This window comes from Homo sapiens, chromosome 17, assembly GCF_000001405.40.
Source record: "Homo sapiens chromosome 17, GRCh38.p14 Primary Assembly".
NCBI classification, from domain to species: domain Eukaryota; kingdom Metazoa; phylum Chordata; class Mammalia; order Primates; family Hominidae; genus Homo; species Homo sapiens.
The window spans coordinates 48,778,579-48,801,961 of record NC_000017.11 but is presented as its reverse complement, the minus strand read 5'-3'; the positions used below and the strand labels follow the sequence as shown (position 1 = coordinate 48,801,961).

The following is a 23,383-nucleotide window of genomic DNA, read 5'->3' as shown; positions in this document are numbered from 1 at the left end:
GTTATTCTCCCCCTCAGCCTCTTGAGTAGCTGGGATTACAGGCGCACCCCACCACACCCAGATAATTTTTTGTATTTTTAGTAGAGGTGGGGTTTTGCCATGTTGGCCAGGCTGGTCTTGAACTCCTGGACTCAAGTGATGCAGTGACAGTGTTTGACTCTCCATTCTTGCATCCAGAGAGGGCAAGATGGCTTCCAGTCTCGAGGAGCCGAGATTTTTTGCTTCAGTACTTGGTCTGGGAGCACCTAGTAATGGAATCTCCCCACCCCATACTCCTCCCCCACTTCCTGGGCTAATAGGCCTTTCTTTCTTCAATAGTGCGCAGGGCTGCCCAACAGTACGGCTTTAGAGAGGGAGGGGAAGACGATGACTGGACTCTCTATTGGACAGATTACTCAGTGTCACTGGAGCGGGTGATGGAAATGAAAAGTTACCAGGTATTTGGGCTAGTGATGGTCCTTGGTTTAAGTGTGCCATCTTACCCGGCGGGGCCCCATTTTTACACCTGTCTCCCGAGGAGATCTTGTAGTACTCCCATGTCCCTCGATTGCTCATGAATTCCGGCTTCCCTTCCAGAAGATCAATCACTTCCCCGGGATGAGTGAAATCTGCCGGAAGGACTTGCTGGCCAGGAACATGAGCCGCATGTTAAAGATGTTCCCTAAAGATTTCCGCTTTTTCCCTAGGACCTGGTGTCTTCCTGCTGAGTGAGTGCCCCCCGCCCTGTACTTCCTTCTCCACTCCCCTCCCCATTTACATTTCCTCTTGCCCCCGATTCCCTGGTTGCCACTTTCCCTGCCCATATGAACTCCCATCTCTCTGGCTACTTTTCAGGAAGAGAAGGGATAAAGGGTGTGTCCAAGGTTGAGAAAACACAAGGCTCTGCCTGTAAAATTAGATGACATTTAGGGGCTGGGTGCCCTGGAGCCTGTACGTGCAGTTGGGGTGAGAGTTTGTTCTGACCCTGAAAGCTGTTGGTTTTGAACTAATTCCAACCACGTAACTGTGCAGTTTCTGAATCTTTAAGGACCATGAGCACCTCTGGAGAGAGTGTGCTAGTGGTTAGCACCCCGGTTAGGAGCAGGGAGGGATGCCTGACCTCTGTCCCATGCAATGCTATGGATAGCAGTCAGCACTTCCCCTTCTCTGCTCTCTTTATATCCATTTCAAAACAACATCAGTTCCTGGTGTGTAAAGTACTCTGGACCACACCACCGAGGAACAGGAGAAATGTGAGATGACATCCATGACCTAGGGTGCAATCTGGTGGCTGAGACAGGGCAGAGGGGTAGAACACTGTCACCATCAGATTATACTCACATGGCAAGGGTATCAGAGGAATTCTACCCTCCCCTCTCCACCCAGTGCTTTCCAAAACCAAGAGCACCAGGGTTCTCAGACTTTCCTTGGCTTGTCTGGAACAAGTTTCAGGGCTTAGCAGCAAATTAGAAGGAAATGTATTTGCCATCAGGTCAACAGGAGCTCCAGATTTCATGGTTACTGAGGAACATTGCAGTTAAGTGACTTCCTGGTTACAAGTTTCCTTTGAGTTAAAACACAGAAGTATAGCGAGACTGATAGACCGAATCCATTAATTTAGTTTCTTTCTTTCTTCTGAATATACTTTCCTCAAAATATGTTCAAATATATGATTTGCTCTCCCATACTCTGGCTGAAATGGAGGTGTCACAGACGAAACACTGAAGCCCAGCATGGGGTGAGAGACTGACGGATCCAAAATCACATCACTTGTCAGGGCTTGAGCCAGGTCCAGAACTCCAAAGCTCCTACCTGCAAACCCAGAAAACAAAACTACCTGTGCCATGGTCACCTTGATGGGACATGCAGCACTGTGCCTGCATTATGTCATGCAACTAGGCACCACAGGAGGTGGGTGTCGTTATTATCCTCACTGTATAGATGATGAAGTTGAGGTTTAGAGAGGTCAAGTCCTTGCAAAGGGTTGCACCACTGGTAAGTGGTGTTGCTTGGGCTTCAACCCAGGCCTGAATTCCCTCTGAAGCCCACACTCCCCACTGCGTGTGCTCTACTCTCTCCCATTGCTGGACCTCTGGGCATCTGTCAGTGCCAGGGATTTGTCACATTAGACAGCTTTTCTTTCTTTTCTTCATAAAGGGCTAGCCTTCCTTTTCATTGCTCCCCAGCTAAAGATGTATCTTGTTCCCTCCCTGCTCTGGTAGCTGGGGAGATTTGCAGACCTACAGCAGGTCAAGAAAAAATAAGACATACATTTGTAAGCCGGATTCGGGCTGCCAAGGGAAAGGTATATTCATCACCCGGACAGTGAAAGAAATCAAACCAGGGGAGGATATGATCTGTCAGCTGTATATTTCAAAGGTACTTCCTCATTGTGATTATTTATTTATCACCCACAGCAACCGCGGACTTTAGCTCCACTGGACAGAATGTGAAATGAGGGGATGGAGGGTGAAGGTGGAGGTGGAGCTGACCTGGCTTCTGCCTTGCACTTTGTCAGACCAAACGTTCTGACCGGGGTGCTGACACGTGCCCGGGCCAGAGTGTCTGTTATCCTTTTACCCTTGTCAATTGGTCTGGCCCTGCCAGGCTGGCCCTTTTCCTGTAACACATTAGGGCTAGGAGAGCACCTTTGGTTTGGGGAAGCCCTCATGTGGGAAAGGGGCATGATGCTGGAGAGCAATCAGCTTTTCTCTTTGACTTGAGGTCATAGGTCACAGCCCACTGTGGGGAGGGAGCCCTCTAGGAGTGTGGACAGAGGGGGACACACTGATCTCTCTGGGAAGAAATGGCCAGGGGACAACATTGCAGGGAGAACTCTTGTAGAACTGCAACTATGCATTGGCTGGGCAAAGTGGCTCACGCCTATAATCCCAGCATTTTGGGAGGCCGAGGTGGGTGGATTGCTTTGAGCTCAGGAGTTTCAGACCAGCCTGGGAAACATGACGAAACCCTTTCTCTACAAAAATTAGCCAGGCGTGGTGGCACATGCCTGTAGTCCCAGCTACTCTAGAGGCTGAGGCTGGAGAATTGCTTGAGCCCGGGAAGTGGAGGTTGCAATGAGCCAAGATTGTGCCACTGCATTCCAGCCTGGGCAACAGGGTGAGACCCTGGAGACCCTGTCTCAAAAAAAAAAAAAAAAAAAAAGAACTGCAACAATATGTAGTCCCGAATGGTGACAATATGTCCATTCATCAAAATACTTTATTTTATTTTTATTTCTTTAGAGATAGGGTCTTGCTCTGTCACTCTGGCTGGAGCGCAGTGGCACAATCATAGCTCATTGCAACCTCAAACTCGTGAGTTCATGCAATCCTCCCACCTCAGCCTCCCCAGTAGAGCTAGGATTACAGGCACATGCCACCACATCTGGCTAATTTGTAATTGTTATTTTTTTTGAGACAGAGCCTCACTCTGTTGCTCAGGCTGGAGTGCAGTGGTGCAATCTCGGCTCACTGCAATCTCTGCCTCTCAGGTTCAAGTGATTCTCCTGCCTTAGCCTCCCAAGTAGCTGGGATTACAGGCACCCACCAGCACACCCGGCTAATTTTTGTATTTTTAGTAGAGACGGGGTTTCACTATGTTAACCAAGCTGGCCTCAAACTCCTGACCTCAAGTGATCTGCCTGACTTGGCCTCCAAAAGTGCTGGGATTACAGGTGTGAACCCTTGTGCCCAGACTAATTTTTTATTAAAAAAAAATTTCTTTGTAGAGGTAGAGTCTCTATGTTGCTGAGGCTGGTCTTAAACCCCTAGCCTCAACAGATCCTCCTGCCTCGGCCTCACAATGTGCTGGGATTCCCAGTGTGAGCCACTGCACCTGGCCTATCAAAGAATTTTTATCTATTTATTTTTTTTGAGACAGGGTCTCACTCTGTCACCCAGGCTGGAGTGCAGCGGTGTGATCAGGGTTCACTGCAGCCTCGACCTCCTAGGCTTGAGCAATCCTTCCACCTCAGCCTCCTGAGTAGCTAAGACTTCAGGCATACACCACCACACTTGGCTAATTCTTTTTTTGAATTTTAGTAGAGAAAAGGTCTCACTTTGTTGCCCAGGCTGGTCTTGAACTCCTGAGGTCAAGCAATCCTCCCTCTTCGGCCTCCCAAAGTATTGGGATTATAGACATAAACCACTGCACCTGGCCCATCAGAGGACTTTTTTTTTTTTTTTTTTTTTTTGAGATGGAGTTTTGCTCTTTCGCCCAGGCTGGAGTGAAGTGGCGTGAACTTGGCTTGCTGCAATTTCTGCCCCCCGGGGCTCAAGTGATTCTCCTGCCTCAGCCTCCTGAGTAGCTGGGATTACAGGGGCCCACCACCGCGCCTGGCAAATTTTTGTATTTTTAGTACAGACGGGGTTTTGCCATGTTGGCCAGGCTGGTCTCGAACTCCTGACCTCAGATCATCCATCCGCCTCAGACTCCCAAAGTGCTAGAGTTACAGGCATGAGCCACCACGCCTGGCTTCAGAGGACTTTTTAATGTTACTTTGTTTAGTTGCCAAGGTGCCTCTTAGAGGTGGTTACTTGTGTCACTTGACAGATCAGGAAACCAAGGCACAGTGTGGTTTAGTGACCTCCACAGGGTCACATGTTGGGACACAGAGCCCAAGTCTCCTTGTTCCTCTCTCTGACCCTGGACAAGCCTGCCCTCCACAACACTAGGCAATGTTGGAGCCAACTCCATGGAAACAAGGCGGGAGCTAGTGATTTTCAAGTGTAAATTTCTCCTCTAATGCATGTCTGACTTCTGTTCTCTCCTTCCAGCCCTTTATCATTGATGGGTTTAAGTTTGACCTACGGATTTATGTACTGGTGACATCCTGTGACCCTCTCAGGATTTTTGTGTACAATGAAGGACTGGCCCGCTTTGCGACGACCTCTTACTCCCGCCCTTGCACAGACAACCTGGTGAGCTAAGGAGACACACTACCTCACCCTACCCCCATAGCGTGATTAAAAAAAAAAAAATTCTAGTTAAATCCACATCCTCAAGACATTGTGAGTGTCATTTGTTGAGCACTTGCTATGTGCCGGGTTTCATTTAGCGCTGCCAGGATCCCTCAGAGAGAGGGATTATTATCCCCATTTTACAGATGACGAGATTAAAACCCAGAGCATAAGGGACTTGTCCAAGGTCACACAGCTAGGAAGAGGTGAGTCTGGGGCTTGTGGCCAGGTCTGCCTGACTCCAAAGCCAGAACCACAGTTCAGGGGTAATCAAGGAGAAAAGGCCGTGGATGAGCAACCCTGCCATCCCCACCTTTCCTGGACCCCCAGGACTCCTGAAGTTTTTCTCAGGCTGGGCACCACCCAATCTCAGAAAGAACTGGAGTTTCTTTTTTTTTTTTTTGAGATGGAGTCTCGCTTTGTCGCCTAGGCTGGAGTGCAGTGGCATGATCTCGGCTCATTGCAACCTCTGCCTCCTGGGTTCAAGCGAGTCTCTTACCTTAGCCTCCTAAGTAGCTGGGATTACAGGTGTGCACCACATCCCCGGCTAATTTTTGTATTTTCAGTAGAGATGGGATTTCACCATGTTGGTCAGGCTGGTCTTGAACTCCTGACCTCGTGATCTGCCTGCCTCAGCCTCCCAGAGTGCTGGGATTACAGGCATGAGCCACCACGCCCAGCAGAATTGGAGTTTCTTAGGCTCGAGGCTGCAGGACACCCCTTCTTACTTCCTGTATTTTGCCACACTAAATAAGCCCTAAAACTTCCCTTTCTTTCCATCCCTTCAAGCCCCAGGGGCCATGGGAGGGCACAGAGAGGAAGCAGGGGGCCTGCCCTTCCGAGCTGACCCGACAGATGTGTGTCTTTTTCCCCAGGATGATATCTGCATGCACCTGACTAATTATTCCATTAATAAGCACAGTTCAAATTTCAGTCGAGATGCACACTCTGGCAGTAAGAGGTAAGGAAGAGGCTTCATTTTTCTTTCCTTTCCCTACCAACCTCAGAACTGCTTTCTGGGATTCTACCCAAACCCTGTTAGTCCCCATCAGTGTTTCCATCTTGGGTCACATGGTCTGAGAATATACTCCTTTGCCTCGCAACCCAGAACAAATTCCTTCATCTCTGCCCTCTTGGCTGTTAATCATTAAAAGAAGGCCCCATCGTAAACCCTGGGAGGCTGGGAGGAGGAGAGATAAACATGAGCTGTTTCCCCAGCAGAATATATACACACACCAAAACATACCCTTATTACAGTTGGCCCTTCTGATATTTCCAAATCAACAGATATTTATTGATCGCTAGTCTGCCACGTGAGAAGGACTTGCCAGGCAGTCATTGCTTGGCCCATGTTCCCCTGGACGTTGCTCCATTAGAGATTCTCAAATGATGTGTCACAGTGCCCTGACATGTGGCTAGCCGGCTTGAAGATTCCTCAGAAGGGGGGAAATTGAGAGCAGTTCATGAGAGTATCTTCACGAGAGGCTTTTCCATTCCTGTTATTGTCTAATCGGGTCTCATTTGAGTTTTAAGAAAACGGGGGACTGAAGAATGTGAACTTGACCAGGTGAAGGAGGAAAGGGAAAAGGAGCAAGTATTTCTGAGGCTTCATGTGTGTTGGGGTCTGTGCTTGGTGCTTTCTGTGCATTTTTTATTGCTGAATTTTTCTTTTCTTTTCTTTTTTTTTTTTTTCTTTTGAGACTGAGTCTTGCTCTGTCGCCAGGCTGGAGTGCAGTGGTGCGATCTTGGCTCACTGCAACCTCTGCCTCCCGGGTTAAAGCAATTCTCCTGCCTCAGCCTCCCAAGTAGCTGAGACTATAGGCATGTGCCACCACACTCCGCTAAGTTTTGTATTTTTAGTAGAGACAGGGTTTCAGCATATTGGCCAGGATGGTCATGATCTCTTCACCTCGTGATCTTCCCACCTCAGCCTCCCAAAGTGCTGGGATTACAGGCGTGAGCCACCGCGCCCGGCCTATTCTTGAATTTTTCACAGCAACACTATGGCAAAGGCATTACTATCTGCCCTCTGTAGGTGGAGAACTGTGAGTTAGGTGCCATCTCCATCTTACAGATGAGGAAACTGAGTCTCAGAGGTTGCGTGAGTTGCCCCAGGTCCCGCAGCTGTGACTGCTAGACTGGGTGGAGAAGCGAGGTCTGTTAGACCCCAGAGCTCATTCTCTTTCCGCTGCACCAGGCTTCAAAGGACCTCTGAACAGGCAATTAGTTTGGCTTCAGACCATCAGAGAGGCATGTGACAGTTCATGACCCCCTCAGTGGCAGCATTCCAAAAAGCACACAGAAAATCGCTAAGTTAAGGCTGCTTAAAGGGGATGTGGAAGGCTGGTGGGAGGCAGTCTCCCCCTTTTCCAGAAGATGTCAGCCACCTGTGCTGCCTGAAGCTCTGCGACTTCCTCCTCTCCTCCCCACCTGGGCTGTGGGCATCAGCTGGGCCTCTTGCATTGCTGCGTTCTGAGCGTGGCACTCTGGGAGGTCTAGTTTGTAGTCCCGGCTCCGACACTTGCCAACTAGGCTTGGACAAGTTACTTCATCTCTCTGAGCCTGCACTTCTTGGTCTGGAGGATGAACGTGATGAGACTCCCTGCCCTGCCCTGCCACCTCACAGGGTCTCTGTGAGGTTCAAATGACTTGTGATGGCAACACAGACAGTGTGCGTGGTTACTGTCATTTTTCCTTAGTCTAAGGGCACAGAATGGAAAGGTTCTCATTTTCCTCCTCCAATGAGAATTGGCACCCCAACAGCAGGCCCTGGGCCCTCGGCTGTGATGGAGGGGTGTCTCGGGGTAGCAGAACTAAGGTGAGGTTGCAAGGCTTCAAGTGTTGTTCTGCCTCTTCCATTTCCCCTGTCCTCTTCCTCTGTTCATCTCCCTCTCACCCCACTGTACTTCTCCATCCACTCTCTCCTGGAGCAGCCGTGTGCCCCCGTGGCCTCCGCCTGCCCTTGCTGGGCTCAGCCTGTCTCCCTTGGGCTCCAGGTCCATCTCTCCTCAGTTCCACCTGGACGTCTTCAACTCAGCATTTCCCAGAATGGGTGTATTCTCTCTCCTTGCCTCCACCGCAGCACTCCAAATTGGTCTCCCTGCCCAACTTCCCCATCTCTACCTTCTCATCTCCAGGGGTGGAGAGCTTGGACATTTCTTTTCCTAGTGATAATTTACATACTTGAACCCACTTAATCCTCCTCACAACAACACTATGAAGTCAGCATTATCATCATCCCTATTCTGCATATTAGGAAACTGAGGTGTGAAAAAGTTAAGTAACTTACCTGGGTCGCACAGCTAGGAAGCTGGGATTGAAACCAGGGCTGCCTGACCCCCGAGTTGGTGCCCTTACCCACTAAGCCATGCTGCCCGTGCCATCCACTTCATGGACAGGGCACTGTCTTTTTTTTTTTTTTTCTTGAGACGGAATCTTGCTCTTGTCACCCCAGACTGGAGTGCAATGGCGCGATCCCGGCTCACTGCAAAAGTTTCGACTCCCGGATTCAAGCGATTCTCTTGCCTCAGCCTCTCAAGTAGCTGGGATTACAGGCGCCCACCACCATGCTTGGCCAATTTTTTGTATTTTTACAACCCTCATGGTCAACATCAGCCATCGCCCATAACTATTCTTTGCCCAGTGCACATTTGTCTTTTGTCCCTAGTTGTACTTTGCTCCTTGAGGGTTACAATGGTGCCCTGGCCTTTGGGGTTCTTCCCATAGTGCTGGGCAGAGTTCATCTTTCCTCCTCTCCCTCCCATCTTGTTTCTCCTTTCCTCTTCCTCCTCTCCATCTTTTGAGACAATCTTCTTCTCATACTGACTGTCTCATCTGTCCCAAAGTTGGCGTTTGAGGTCAACTGCCCTCCCTGTCAATACCCCACTGGCGCACAAACTCAGGAGTAGTGCTGCGGTCACAGTGAAGGAGAAGACAGGAAACCTGAAAACCTGGCAGGATTCTGGGGCAGACACCAAGCCATCTTCATCTTTCAGTGTGCTCAGCACATGGCTGGTATTAAATTGAATTGACTTACCACTGGGCATTATGAAATTACACAATGAAGTATATTCATTGTGATGAGCCTGAGTCATCAAGAAAAGGTTATGTTATATGTTGCCAGGGAGGTGTATAATCTATTTCAGGAAAATTTATTTCCCAATTAGGCAAATTAAATACATTTTCTCCACTTGAAAAAAATTGGCTTAAAGCGATCTGGAAAATCCATTTATGTGCAACACTGTTTTCTGACAATGGCAGGTGGAGGAGGTGGCCTCTATATTGAGTATCCTTTGCTTATCTGTCTTTATATAAATGCATCCTTGGTTGTTTCACATGTGTGTTGACTCCCTGAATGGTCCTGAGGCTTCCCATGACAGAGGTGACAGTTTCTAGTGTCCCCTCCTTGCATGAGGCTTTGCATGCACCAAAGGCCCTTATCAAATGCTCATTGTCTGGCTGACCCTGCTTCCTCCTTCTTGACCCCTTGGGCTGGGATCTAGTGAGCTTTTGAAACTGCCTGGATGAGCCGTGTCTCTTGTCTTTTTCATTCTTTCTGCTGTTCACTCCCCTGCACCTCCTCCTTCCACACTGCCACTTCCACTTTGGCTGTCTGTGCACATTTGTGTGCATGTGAGGTGGCAAATGTCTGTCCCCACCACTGCCTCTTGGATTTGTGACATCCATCCTCTCTCTGTAATGCCCAGCTCAGAGCTGGCTGAGTACCCACTCAGGTATTTCCTCATGAACTATTCCACATGAGGTAAACATCTCTGAGTTCATCTGTGATCAGGTGACCAGCTGTCTCCGTTTGCCCACGACTGAGGGGTTTCCTGGAATTCAGGACTTGCAATTCTAAAACTGGGACAGTCCAGTTTGCCTGGCACAGTTGGTAACCTTATCTGTGGACATGCCCTTGGGTGCCTTTTCCTTGTGGGCAGCCCTAAAACAAGTTTTCTGTGTCATTAGTGTCCCTAGAATCCCCTCAGATGGCTGAGGTGGGACCCAGGCATCAGTGTTCTTAAAAGGCTGCCCACATGCTTCTAATGAACACCAAAGGCTGAGGAATCATTGCTGCCAAAGTAAAACCATGGTGTCAGGGGGTTTTCTTGACTCATCCCTTCCCCTGCTGATAGATGTTTTCTGGGTCACAGTGAAAGTGAAAGTGTCCTGACCATGTCCTATGTGACTGCATCTGCACCCACCCTGGGGCTCTGGAGACTTGGAGGGTGTGGTCCTGGGATTCCTGGGACCTCATCTGGCACCGACACAGCCCAGGTGTCACCCTGGTTCCTGGGCGTTCATCCTCGCTGGCTCTGGAGCCTTGTCTCCGCCAGGAGTTTCTGGTTTCCAGCATGCCATGGCCTCGGGTGACCAGAAGCCAGCTACACTGCCTCCTGGCCTGTGGTTCCCTTCCAGGAAGCTCTCCACCTTCAGTGCATACTTGGAGGACCACAGCTACAACGTGGAGCAGATATGGAGGGATATTGAGGACGTCATCATCAAGACCCTCATCTCGGCCCACCCCATCATCAGGCATAACTACCACACCTGCTTCCCCAACCACACACTCAACAGCGCCTGCTTTGAGATCCTGGGCTTTGACATTTTGTTGGACCACAAACTCAAACCCTGGCTGCTGGAGGTAGGGAAGTTTGGGCGAGGGGCGAAAACGAACTCCTGTTATTGGGGCCAGCCCGCTTCAAGGATTCCGCCCTCCTGGCTCACCTAAATTGTTTCAACTTCCCAGGCCACTTCCTCCCATGGTGCCTGCTGCCTGGGGCTTCTCTCTTAGCTGAGAAGTGGCCACCAGAGGGGGGTAGACAGCTGGGAATTAGAGAATTCCTTTGCCTTCTTGAGGTCCTCTTAGACAAGGAAGTGCTGATCTTAGGCACAGAGTGATTCTAAAGACAGCTCGATCTTTTGTAAGAGTTGTCTCCCAGAAAGGGGCGTTTTTCATCAAAGCTGGGTTGGCAACGTTCAGTATCAGACAGGAGCGGCGGTGCCCCACTCTTAGGGTCCTGGATTACTCAGTTCACACACACCAGCAGAGAGCGTCCTGGGGCCTGCTGCCACCGAAATGGATGGGGGGCCATGTAGTGAGTTTCCTGCCTCCCCTAGACCCATACGGCAGTGTGAGGAGGAGGAGAAGCTTTCCTGGTGACTGCCTCTCTTCCTGATAGAATTGTCCTCAGGAGCCCTCTCATGTGGCCCTTCAGGGAGCAAAGGGTGCTAGTGCCAGGTGCAGTGACACAGGTCAGACTCTGGGGTGGAGAACCCGAGATTACAGGTCAGATTCCTGCAGCTTTGCCCTTCTTCCATTCCCAGCCCTTGTAGGTGTGGTGGGAAGAGGGATGTGCCTGTTTGCAGCCCTTACCCAAAGAGCAGAATGAGCCATCAGGACCAAGCCCTTCAAAAACTTCTAGAAATCTGCAAATGTCACATGGTGCCTCCAAACAATACAGACTTTTCAGTGGGCGGGAATGAGTCCTCTCCTTCCTCCCACATGTCTCCCCTCCACCCTGGCCAGGCTCCTGAATGCCACTCCTCTCTACCTCCTATGTCCAAGCCTGTCCCTTTGGGAAGTACCCCTTCCATCCTGCTCTCTGGATGCCCAGTGCATATGAGAGAACACATGCACCCCAGATGGAGTGGAACACACACACCAAAGAGAGGGTAACCCTGATGCTCCCAAAGAAGAAAGGCCTGAGATAAAAGCTGGTTTAACTAGAGGGAGTTCTGCTGCCTCCTTTTTTCACTGTGGCTCTAGTCCAGATGCTCTCTCCCCTCCCTTTCATCTTGGTAGTGAGGGCCCTGAGGTGGGCTTTGGTAGTGCCCTGGAGGTGGCACCTCGGCCTCACTCTCTGCTTTCATTCTGGACGGCTTTGTCACCAGCTGCCAATCTTGCCCTCACAGGTCAACCACTCTCCAAGCTTCTCCACCGACTCTCGGTTGGATAAAGAGGTGAAAGATGGTCTGCTGTATGACACCTTAGTCCTGATCAACCTGGAAAGCTGTGACAAGAAGAAAGTCTTGGAGGAGGAGAGACAACGGGGGCAGTTCCTGCAGCAGTGTTGTTCTCGGGAGATGAGGTACATTCGCACTCCCCAGCCTTGCGGGGCTCTCTCTCTGACTCCCCTGCTCCCAATAAGAATGATCTGTCCTGGGCCGGGTGCAGTGGCTCACACCTGTAATCCCAGCACTTTGGGAGGCTGAGGCAGGCAGATCACCTGAGGTCAGGAGTTCGAGACCAGGCTGGCCAACATGGTGAAACCCCGTCTCTACTAAAAATACAAAAAAATTAGCCGGGTATGGTGGCGCATGCTTATAATCCCAGCTACTCAGGAGACTGAGGCAGGAGAATTGCTTGAACTTGGGAGACAGAGGTTGCAGTGAGCCGAGATCACACCATTGCACTTCAGCCTGGGTGACAGAGCAAGACTCCGTCTCAAAATAAATAAATAAAAGAATGGTCTGTCTTCCTCCAAATTATGACTCGACAGCCTACTAGTTATGTGGCCTTTCTGTCACTTCTCTGAGCCTCAGTGATCTTTCTATGAAATGGAGCTATGATACATAAGGTTGTTGGGCGAATGAAATGAGATAATGCATATAAAAGGCTTAGCATAGTGCCTGGCACTATAATATATATCGAAGGCTATTACAATCTTGCCTGGAGTTGGAGGGGGTCATTTTAACAAACGATAATCCCATTTGGAAAATGAGTTTATATTGGCAGAATGTAGCAGTTTGAATAGTTTTACTCTGAATATTCCTTTGTTCCTAGAAATAGGAGATTAAGTTACAGATATATAGCTATATATAATGGATAGAAATTAATTAATACTAAGTGAAGCTTTAGGAATTACCAGTATAAAAACAAGACCATTCCTTTTTTTTTTTTTTACTATAAAGAAAGATGTGTCTGTCCTTCTCCATGTTCCCCTGTTGCCAGGAGCTAACGTCTCCTGCTTCCTGTTGGGCAGCACTTGCCTTGTAACTGGTATTTCCATTCTGAAGAGTGATTCTAGTGTCTGGAGACTCTGAGCCTAGTCAAGGGGATCCTTTGTTGCTTTTCAGACCCCACTACAGCCCCCTGCACTCCTCATGGGCAGAACCAGTCTAATCCTTTGGGGTTGAGTTTCTGGAACTGATGCCATAAATAGCATTTATGTTTGGATGGCACAGTGTTTCTCAGGCACTTGCACTGTCTTCCCTGTAAGGAGCGGGTAGGTAGGTAGGGTGGAGTGCTGTGTGGCCTTGTTCTGAAAGCTAAGGAAATCAAGACTGCAGAAAGGGAACTGACTTCTACAAGGTCACCCTGCTGGTAAATGACAGCTCTGGACCCAGAGCCCAGTGAGTCTGCCGCCTGGGATTCCAGGATGCCTTCCACCATGCCCTGCCATCTCTAAACTCCTCGAGAAGGAGGCAGTGTCCTGTTGAGGAGCAGCTGTCAGGTTAAGGGCCTTCTCCGAATCAGTCTCCTCATTATTTGGCCCTGGATATTTCTGTGGCTCTGGGTTTCCCTGCTGTAAAAGGGGGCTTATCATTTCTCCCTGTCTGACCCCCACTTCCCCCAGGGGGCTGTGAGGAAGAATGAGATCATTGCAGCTCGTAAACGGTCATCAAGGTCATCCAGGAAGCCCTCAAATTCGGCAAAAGTGCAAGTTGCCACTCTCTAGAAAAGGGTAATCAGGGCTGTGAATGGGAAGGTGGCGACAGTCTGCCTAGTCAGAGCTAAGCCGAGTAGAAAATGGGTTTTACTTGGAACAGGACAGAATTTGGTGAGTTGTTAGAAAGACTGTGCTAACCAGCTTTTAGTGCATTATGACATTGGCTGTCCCAGGAGGGCTAGAATCTCCTTTCAGGGAAACAGTCATGCATTTATTTAGCAAATCCTGATTGACCGCCATTATGTGCAAGGCCTCCATCTGGCCCTAGACGACCTCCAGCTTGGACATATCCCTTCCAGGCTTTGTCCCAAGAAAACCTGACAGCAGCCCCATGTTCTGCTTCCCAACAGGATTGAGGAAGCCAAGGGTTTCCGGGCCGTGCAGTTAAAGAAAACTGAAACGTATGAGAAGGAAAACTGTGGAGGGTTCCGACTGATTTATCCCAGTCTGAATTCGGAGAAGTATGAGAAGTTTTTCCAGGACAACAACTCCCTCTTCCAGAATACTGTTGCTTCCAGGGCTCGGGAGGAGTATGCCCGGTAGGAAGACATCCGGGATGAGGTCGGTGGAGGGGTTCTGGGGATTGTGTGTGATCTATTGGCTGACTGGCCTGGAGTGGCAGGGAGAGTCCCCAGCCATGAAAGTTGCCAGAGCAACCAGGCGCCGTGGCTCACGCCTGTAGTCCTAGCACTTTAGGAGGCCAAGGCAGGTGGATGGCATGAGCCCAGGAGTTCAAGACCAGACTGGGCAACATGGCGAAACCCCATCTCTACAAAACAACAAAAAGGAAAATTAGCTGGGCATGGTTGCATGTGCCTATACTCCCAGCTACTCAGGAGGCTGAGGTAGGAGAATCACCTGAGCCCAGGGGGTGGAAGCTGCAGGGAGCTGTGATTGCACCCCTGCACTCCAGCGTGGGTGTCAGTGTCAGACCTTGTCTCAAAGAAAAGCAAAAAAAGAAAGTTGCCAGATGAACATCTGCCCTGGTCTCGCAAGGACAAGGAATTGGAAGATTCCCTATGTGAAGTGGAGAGAAGTAGCTCTTTCTAGAAACTCACTCCTGAGGATAGCCACCCCCTCAAAGCTGCCTCATGGATTCACACAGGCGTAAACTCCAGGAGCTGGAGGGACTCATCCACTGAGTCCAGTCCTCTCCTACCAGCTCATTTTGTGGAAAGAGAAGGCAGAGCAGAGGAGGGATCACATATAAAGATGATGACAGGCCAGGCGCGGTGGCTCACGCCTGTAATCCCAGCACTTTGGGAGGCCGAGGCAGGTGGATCACGAGGTCAGGAGTTCAAGATCAGCCTGGCCAAGATGGTGAAACCCCATCTCTACTAAAAATACAAAAAATTAGCCGAGAGTGGTGGCATGCTCCTGTAATCCCAGCTACTCTGGAGGCTGAGGCAGAGAATTAAACCTGGAGGGGCAGAGGTTGCAGTGAGCTGAGATTGTGCCACTGCACTCCAGCCTGGGGGACAGAGCGAGACTCCATCTCAAAAAAAAAAAAAAAAAAAAGATGACAGAAGAGGGACCAGAACTCCCCTGTGTCCTGATTCATGAGACTGAGTTATTTCTGCTATATTATGTCACCTTTTGTCCACTCTCAGCATCCATTGGCTAGACAGGCCCAGCACATGAAATGGCGCAATATGAGAGCCTCTGGCGTTAGCCTCCTACCCAGACCCTCTCCCCAGCACCTGCCATGGATGGGAACTGGCCTGCTGGGAAGTGGGGAACAAATAGGGCTGTGATGGACTAGGGAATAGCCCCCTTACTGCACATCTCTCCTTGGATGCTATTCCCACACAGGGGATGGTATGGTTGGCAGAATGATGCTTTCCTCCACACCCTGCTCCTTGACATTCAATCACTTGTGCAGACTGGATATGTTGGAGGAGGGAATGTGGAACTTGCTAACTTTTCGCCCAGTCATGTCCATCCCTCAAGGAGAATGCCTGCCTGCGCAGCGCATTTCTAACCCCCATGATGTTCACTTGTTCTTCATGGGCAGGCAACTGATCCAGGAGCTGAGACTAAAACGGGAGAAAAAGCCCTTCCAAATGAAGAAGAAGGTAGAGATGCAGGGGGAATCGGCAGGCGAGCAAGTGAGAAAGAAGGGCATGAGGGGCTGGCAACAGAAACAACAGCAGAAAGACAAGGCCGCCACCCAAGCCTCCAAACAGGTAAACCTGGATTGAGGGGAACACACGTAGCCACACCCTTCCCCACCTGGGCCTGATCCGTGGAGGGGTGCTGAGGAGACCACTGCTCAGAGCCCAGACACACCGAAAGGCTGTGCAGAGGGCTGGGCAACGACGGGGCGGTGCGGGGAGCCCTGAAGGCACACAGGAGCCGGCATCTTTTAGAGGATCCCTCAATCCAGGCAGCAGAGGACTCTCACCGGTCTGTCCTGCTTGCCTCCTCCAGTAGGAGTAAGAGCAGCCAGGCCATGCTGGGAGGCTGAGCATGAACCTTATTTAGGGAGCGGGCTTCAGGAGTGCATGTACTCCTGGTCCTCAACTGCAGCTTGGGTTGGAATGCTCCCCTCTAGCAGGCCAGGGCACAGTGGAGAGAGCAGGCCACTGGGAAGAGCTTCTGGGAACAGGACTCTCAGAACATTACATGGGATGTCGGTCATGGCTGGGTCTCTCCTCCTCTATGCAAAGCGTGGACCAGTCCTGGCTGTGGGTCAGCTATCCAGCTGGCCTGTGGTCTGTCTACGCCTTCTCTGCTTAGCACTCTCTTCTAGCTCAGTGGGAAGATTCAGCTGAGTTTTCAGTCCATCTACTTTGTCTCAAAGGCTCACCTGGATTAGAGCAGGGATTTTTGTTTCGTATTATTCAACTTTGTTAGGGTCACAGACCCTTTAAGAATCTGATAAAAGCTATGGAATCTCTTGCCAGAAAGTACACAATGCACAGTTTTTAAACTGCAATTTCAAGTGGCTCAGAGACCCTGTGAGCTATCCATGAGTCCTCTAAGGGTCCCAGAATTCCAAGTTGAGAGCCCCACATTAGAGAGACTTTACTATCGACTGCTTTCCTTCTCCTCATCTCTTTTTCACCTACCCCTGGGTGCAGATGAATCTGGAAGTGGATAGAGCTGGGTTCCCATGGCTGTGTGTTGTGGTTTCTTCCTCCCTCAGTACATCCAGCCATTGACATTAGTATCCTACACACCTGACTTGCTCTTGAGTGTCAGAGGTGAAAGGAAAAATGAAACAGACAGCAGCCTCAACCAGGAGGCTCCCACGGAGGAGGCCAGCTCTGTTTTCCCCAAGCTGACGTCTGCGAAGCCCTTCAGTTCTCTACCCGATCTGAGGAATATCAATCTCAGCAGCTCGAAGTTGGAGCCCAGTAAACCCAACTTCAGCATCAAGGAGGCCAAGTCTGCCTCTGCAGTGAACGTATTCACTGGCACTGTGGTAAGTAGTGAGCCGAGCTCTGGGAGGGAGTGGTGGGAGTCTTGCTTACTGGTCCTTTCTCTACCCCCAACTTGCTGTGACCCTTTGAGTAAGCCACTGAGCCTCCCTGGGCCTTGGTGTCTCCCCTTGAGAAGCCCACACTGTGGAATGGCATAGCTGCTGGGAGGACCGGCATTTAGGAAGATGCTCTTGTGCGTCCCCTCTTGGGAGGCAGGTTATCCCCTGGAGTGGTTCCTAGAGCTGCTGTGGCAAATTGCCTCCAACTTGGTGGAGGCAACACCGTTTATTCTCTCACAGTTCTTGAGGCTGGAAGTCTGAAACCAAGGTGTTGGCAGGACCATGCTCCATCTCAGGGCTCTAGACGGAGGATCCTTCCTTGCTTCTTGCTGGATTCTGTCTGGTGGCTGCTGAGTGCTTGGCAGTCCTTGGTTTGTGGCAGCATAACTCCAATCTCTGCCTCTGGTGTCATGTGGCTTTCTTCTCTGTGCTTCTCCTCTGTGTATCTTATTTTTTTTTTTGAGACAAGGTCTGGCTCTGTTACCTAGGCTGGGGTGCAGTGGTGCAATCTCCGCTCACTGCAACCTCTGCCTCCCATGCTCAAGCCATCCTCTCGCCTCGGCCTCCCAAGTAGCTGGGACTGCAGGCACACACCACCATGCCGGGCTAATTTTTGTATTTTTTGTCGAGAAGGTTTCACCATGTTGCCCAGGCTGGTCTTGAACTCATGAGCTCAAGCCTCCTAAAGTGTTGGTATTACAGACGTGAGCCACCACGCCTGGCCTTCCCCTGTGTATCTTTACATGGCCTTCTTATAAGGACACCAGTCATTGGATTTAGGGCCTACCCTAATCCAGTGTGATCTCATAATCATACCTTTGACTAATCATAACTGCAAAGACCCTCTCTCCAAATAAGGTCACATTCTGAGAGGTTCTATCCAATTGGACATGAATTTTGGTAGTACACCTTTGAACTCAGCACAGCCTAAACAGTATTTCTCAAACTCTGTTGATGTATGGACACCTTGTTTTGAAGGAAAGAAAACTCTCTCAGACCCCCATTGTAGACTTAAATTATTTTTATGAATATATACAAGCATAAAAGCAGACATAAAATCTTTATACTTAGAGCACTTAGGCAACCATAGAACCAAACCAAAACAAATAGCACCAATAAAATTTAAATAAATAAAAGCTGAGTGCAGTGGCTCATGCCTGTTATCCCAGCACTTTGGGAGGCCGAAGCAGATGGATCACTGGAGGTCAGGAGTTTGAGACCAGCTTGGCCAACATGGTGAAACCCCATCTCTACTAAAATACAAAAATTAGCCAGGTGTGATGGTGCATGCCTGTAATTTCAGCTACTTGGGAGGCTAAGACAACAGAATTGCTTGAACCCGGTAGGTGGAGGTTGCAGTGAGCCCAGATCATGCCACTGCACTCCAGTCTGGGCAACAGAGTGAGACTCTATCTAAAAAAAAAAAAACAATATTTTTTAAATAAAAAATATTCACTTAAGGTGACAGTTGACTTTTCTATTTTGCAGAAACGAAGTTGCCACATGAACATGGTACTAACTGCCCTAGCACAGATCTCTTTGTGTTCCTCCCACTGAAGCCCACCAAGGGCTGACCCTACTGTAATTACTGGAAAATCTTCAGCATTGTTGGGCCTTCATTTGGACCAAGTGCAGTAGAGAGTAGGGCAATGCTTTTCAAAATTTTTCACCATAGCCCACAGTAAGAAATCCACTTTATTTCACAATCCATCACCCCCGCCCCACCTCCCACACACACACCTGGAAAAAAGTTTCTAAAACAGTGCTTAGGCATACTACATATGATACCTCAATTAACATTTTCTATTCTGTGCTATTCTGTCTGTTCTATTCTTTGAAAAAGTACCAGTTAAGGCTAGGTGCAGTGGCTCACACCTGTAATCCCAGCCCTTTAGGAGGCCGAGGTGGGTGGATCACCTGAGGTCAGGAGTTCAAGACCAGCCTCGGCAACATGATGAAACCCCGTCTCTACAAAAATACAAAAATTAGCTGGGCATGATGGTGGGTGCCTACAATCCCGTCTACTTGGGAGGCTGAGGCGGAAGAATCACTTGAACCCAGGAGGCGGAGGTTGCAATGAGCCAAGATCGTGCCATTGCACTCCAGCCTGGGTGACAGAGCGAGACTCTGTCTCAAAAAAAAAGAAAAAAGAAAAAAAAAGTACCAGTTACAACCTACCAGATTAATTCATGATTTCATAGGTTTACAACCCATGGTTTGAAAAGCACCTTTAAGAGAGTATGTTTTGCAGCTTCATAATTTCTTGGGCATATGCCACTAAAAGCACAGTGAACAGAAGCAAAAATAGACAAATGAGACCATGTCAAACTGAAAGCTTTTGCACAGTAAAGGCAACAACCAACAGAGTGAAAAGGCAACTTGGGCAATGGGAGAAAATATTTGCAAACCAGGGCAGGGTGCAGTGGCTCACGCCTGTAATCCCAGCACTTTGGGAGGCCAAGGTGGGAGGATCACCTGAGGTCAGGAGTTCAAGACCAGCCTGGCCAACGTGGTGAAACCCCAATTCTACTAAAAATACAAAACCTAGCCTGGCCAACGTGGTGAAACCCCATTTCTACTAAAAATACAAAACCTAGCCAGGCGTGGTGGTGCGCGCTTGTAATCCCAGCTACTCGGGGAGCTGAGGCAGGAGAATCGCTTGAACCTGGGAGGCAGAGGTTGCAGTGAGCTGAGATCATGCCACTGCCCCACAGCCTGGGCAATAGAGCAAGACTCTGTCTCAAAAAAAAAAAAAAAAAAGAAAAGAAAAAGTATATATATTTACAAACCACGTGTCTGATAAGGGATTTGCCTTAGTCTGTTCAGGCTGCTGTAACCAAATGCCTTAGACTGCGTAATTTATAAACAACAGAAATTTATTTCTTACAGTTCTGGAGGCTGAGAAGTCCAAGATCAAGGTGCTGGCAAGTTTGATGTCTGGTGAGGGCCTATTCCTCATAGACGGCAGCTTCTTGCTGTGTCCTCACACAGTGGAAGGAGCTAGTTAACTCTCTGAAGCTTCTTTTATAAGGGTACTGATTCCATTCATGAGGGTTCTGCCCTTTCCACTAGTCATCTCCCAAAGGCCCCACCTCTTATTACCGTCACCTTGGGGGTTAGCACTTCAACATGAATTTTGGGGGGACATCAGCATTCACACCATAGCAGGCTTAATATCCAGCATATATGAAGAATTCCTACATCTCAACAGCAACAAAAATGCAATTTAAAAATAGACAAAGGACTTGAACAAACATTTTTCTAAAGAAGATAAACAAATGGCCAATAGCATGAAAAGATGCTCAACATCACTAGTCATCAGGGAAATGCACATCAAAACCATGAAATATCACCTCATAGCTGTTAGGATGGTCATTACTTTTAAAAAAATGAAAAACAGAAAATAAGCCTCGGTGAGGATGTGGAGATATTGGAATCTTTCTGCACTGTTGATGGGAATGTAAAATGCTGCAGCCTCTAAGGAAACAGTGTGGAGCTTCCTCCAAAAATTGAAAATAGGGCTAGGTGCAGTGGCTCATGCCTGTAATCCCAGCACTTTGGGACGCTGAGGCAGACAGATCACTTAAGGCCAGGAGTTCAAGACCAGCCTGGCCAACATCATGAAACCCCATCTCTACTAAAAATACAAAAATTAGCCAGGCATAGTGGCATATACATGTAATGCCAGCTCCTCGGGAGGCTGAGGCAGGAGAATTGCTTGAACCCGGGAGGCAGGTTTACAGTGAGCCAAGATCGCGCCACTGCACTCCAGCCTGGGCAACAGAGTTAGACTCTTGTCTAAAAAAAAAAAAAATTAAAAATAGAATTACCCTATAATCTAACCATCCCACTCCTGGGTATATACCCAAAATAATTGAAAACAGGATCTCAAAAAGATATTTGCACACCCATGTTCATTGCAGCATTTTTCATAATAACCAAGAGGTAGAAGCAACCCAAATGCCCGTCAACCACAGATAAATGAATAAAGAAAATGTGGTATATACATATAATGAAATATTATTCAGCCTTAAAAAAGAGAGAAATCCTGTCAAATGCTACAACAGGACTTACCCTTGAGGATGTTTATGCTAAGTCAAAGAAGCTAGTCACAAAAAGATAAATACTGTTATGATTCCACTTCTGTGAAGTATCTAGAGTAGCCCCTCTTAGAAAGTGGAATCATGGTTGCCAGGGACTGGGCGGAGGGAGAGAAGGGGGACTTGTCTAATAAATACATAAGTTTCACAAGGTGCAAAAGTTCTAGAGATCTCTTGCACAACAAATGTGCATATAGTTAACACTACTACATATAGAACACTTTAAAATGACTAAGATGGTAGATTTTATGTTATTTATTTATTTATTTAAACCACAATTTAAAATAGAGATTATGCTTTGGGGATCTGGCTGCCTTCGATTGGATCCTGGAGTCTCCTTTTAATAGAACTTCCTTTTAGACACTTTAAATTCCCTAAACCTCAGTTTTCCCATTTAAAGAATGGATTTTTTAAAGTAGAGTCTGGGCGCAGTGGCTCCCATCTGTAATGCCAGCATTTTGGGAGGCTGAAGTGGGCAGATCATTTGAGGTCAGGAGTTCGCTGAGGCAGGAGAATTGCTTGGACCCAGGAGGCAGAGGTTGCAGTGAGCCGAGATTGCACCATTGCACTCCAGCCTGGGCGACCAGAGCAAAACTCCGTCTCAAAATAAATAAACAAACAAAATGTATTTAAATATGATTTGATTATATATCTCATTCTATGTCCTCTTTTTTTTTTCTGAGCCCTATTTTTTCCCTAAGATTAAATTTACTCAAATCTTCACCGTACAATTTTGGCAAATAAATGTACCCTATAACCTACATGCTATCATGATATATCATGATACGAACATTTTGATATCTCCAGAAAGTTTCCTCCTGTTTCTTCCCAGGCAATCTTCCTCCCCTCATCCCTCTTCAAGGCATCTGCTACCCTGACTCTGACTTCTTTGACTTTTTCACCTTAGTTTTGCCTGTTCTAGAATTTTACGTAAATGGAATAATATAGTATATGTTCTTTTGTGTCTGGCTTCTTTGGCTCAGTACCATATCTCTGAGATAAATCCATGTTGTTGGGCTAATCAGTAGTTTGCTGAATTGTATTTCACTGTACAGATATACTACAGTTTGTTTATCCATTCACCTATTGATAGACTTTTGGGTTGTTCCCAGTTTTTTGTTTGTTTGGTTGTTTATTTTATGGTCATTAAAGCTCCTGTGAACATTTTTGTACACATCATTTTGTGGACAAATGTTTTCATTTCCTTGTATAACTACCTAGGAGAAGGATCACTGGATCAAAAGGTAAATCTATATGTAACTTTATAAGAAACTCCAAAGTCTTTATCCAAAGTGACTGTATTATTGTACATTTTAAGCAGCAATTTATGAGAGTTCCAGTTGCTCCGTAGCTCCATATCTTTGTCAACGTTTTGGCGTTATCTGTCTTTTTTTTTTTTTTTTTTTTTTTTTGAGACAGAGTCTTGCTCTGTTGCCCAAGCTAGAGTGCAATAGCACAGTCTTGGCTCACTGCAACCTCAGCCTCCCGGGTTCAAGCAATTCTCATGCCTCAGCCTCCCTGTCTTTTAAATTTGAACCACTCTAATGGCTATGTTTTGATATCTCATTGTAGTTTTACTTTGTATTTCCCTGATGTTTACTGGTTATTTATCTTTCTTTGTCAAGTATATTCAAGTTTTCATCCCCTCCCTTTTTTTCCCCCTCTGAGACAGAGCCTCACTCTGTCACCCAGGTTGGAATGCAGTGGCACCATCATAGCTCACTGCAACCTCAAATTCCTGAGCTCAAGGGATCCTCCCTTTCACCTCAGCCTCCTGAGTAGCTGAGACTACAGGCCCTCACCACCGTTCCTGGCTAATCTTTTTTTTTTTTTTTTGAGATGGAGTCTCACTCTGTTACCCAGGCTGGAGTGCAGTGGTGTGGTCTCAGCTCACTGCAACCTCTACCTCCCGGGTTCAAGCGATTCTCCTGCCTCAGCCTCCTGAGTAGCTGGGATTACAGATGAGCACCACCACGCCCAGCTAATTTTTGTATTTTTAGTAGAGACGGGGTTTCACTATGTCGGTCAGGCTGGTCTCGAACTCCTGACCTCATGATCAGCCCGCCTCAGCCTCCCAAAGTGCTAGGATTATAGGTGTGAGCCACTGTGTCTGGCAATTTTTTTTTTTTTTTTTAAGAGACTGAGTCTTGCTTTGTTGCCCAGGCTGGTTTCAAACTCCTGGGCTCA

General features: G+C 48.2%; 1 protein-coding gene across 10 annotated transcripts in view; it reads left to right on the top strand.

The window, feature by feature from the left end:
* Positions 1-23,383, top strand: part of TTLL6 (tubulin tyrosine ligase like 6) — a 54,996-nt gene that overhangs the window by 15,268 nt on the left and 16,345 nt on the right. For 6 of the 10 annotated variants that reach the window (NM_001130918.3, NM_001366314.2, XM_017024493.3 and 3 more), the window contains 10 exons: positions 319-437; positions 577-707; positions 2,202-2,358; positions 4,758-4,901; positions 5,816-5,901; positions 10,359-10,584; positions 11,856-12,031; positions 13,963-14,151; positions 15,627-15,798; positions 16,761-17,039. In NM_001130918.3, the coding sequence (NP_001124390.1) occupies positions 319-437; positions 577-707; positions 2,202-2,358; positions 4,758-4,901; positions 5,816-5,901; positions 10,359-10,584; positions 11,856-12,031; positions 13,963-14,151; positions 15,627-15,798; positions 16,761-17,039 (1,679 nt within the window). Of the gene's footprint in view, positions 1-318; positions 438-576; positions 708-1,683; positions 1,891-2,201; positions 2,359-4,757; positions 4,902-5,815; positions 5,902-7,627; positions 7,759-10,358; positions 10,585-11,855; positions 12,032-13,962; positions 14,152-15,626; positions 15,799-16,760; positions 17,040-23,383 lie in introns of those variants that run through there. The other 4 variants (XM_017024491.3, XM_017024495.3, XM_047435805.1 and 1 more) reach the window with 4 other exon arrangements.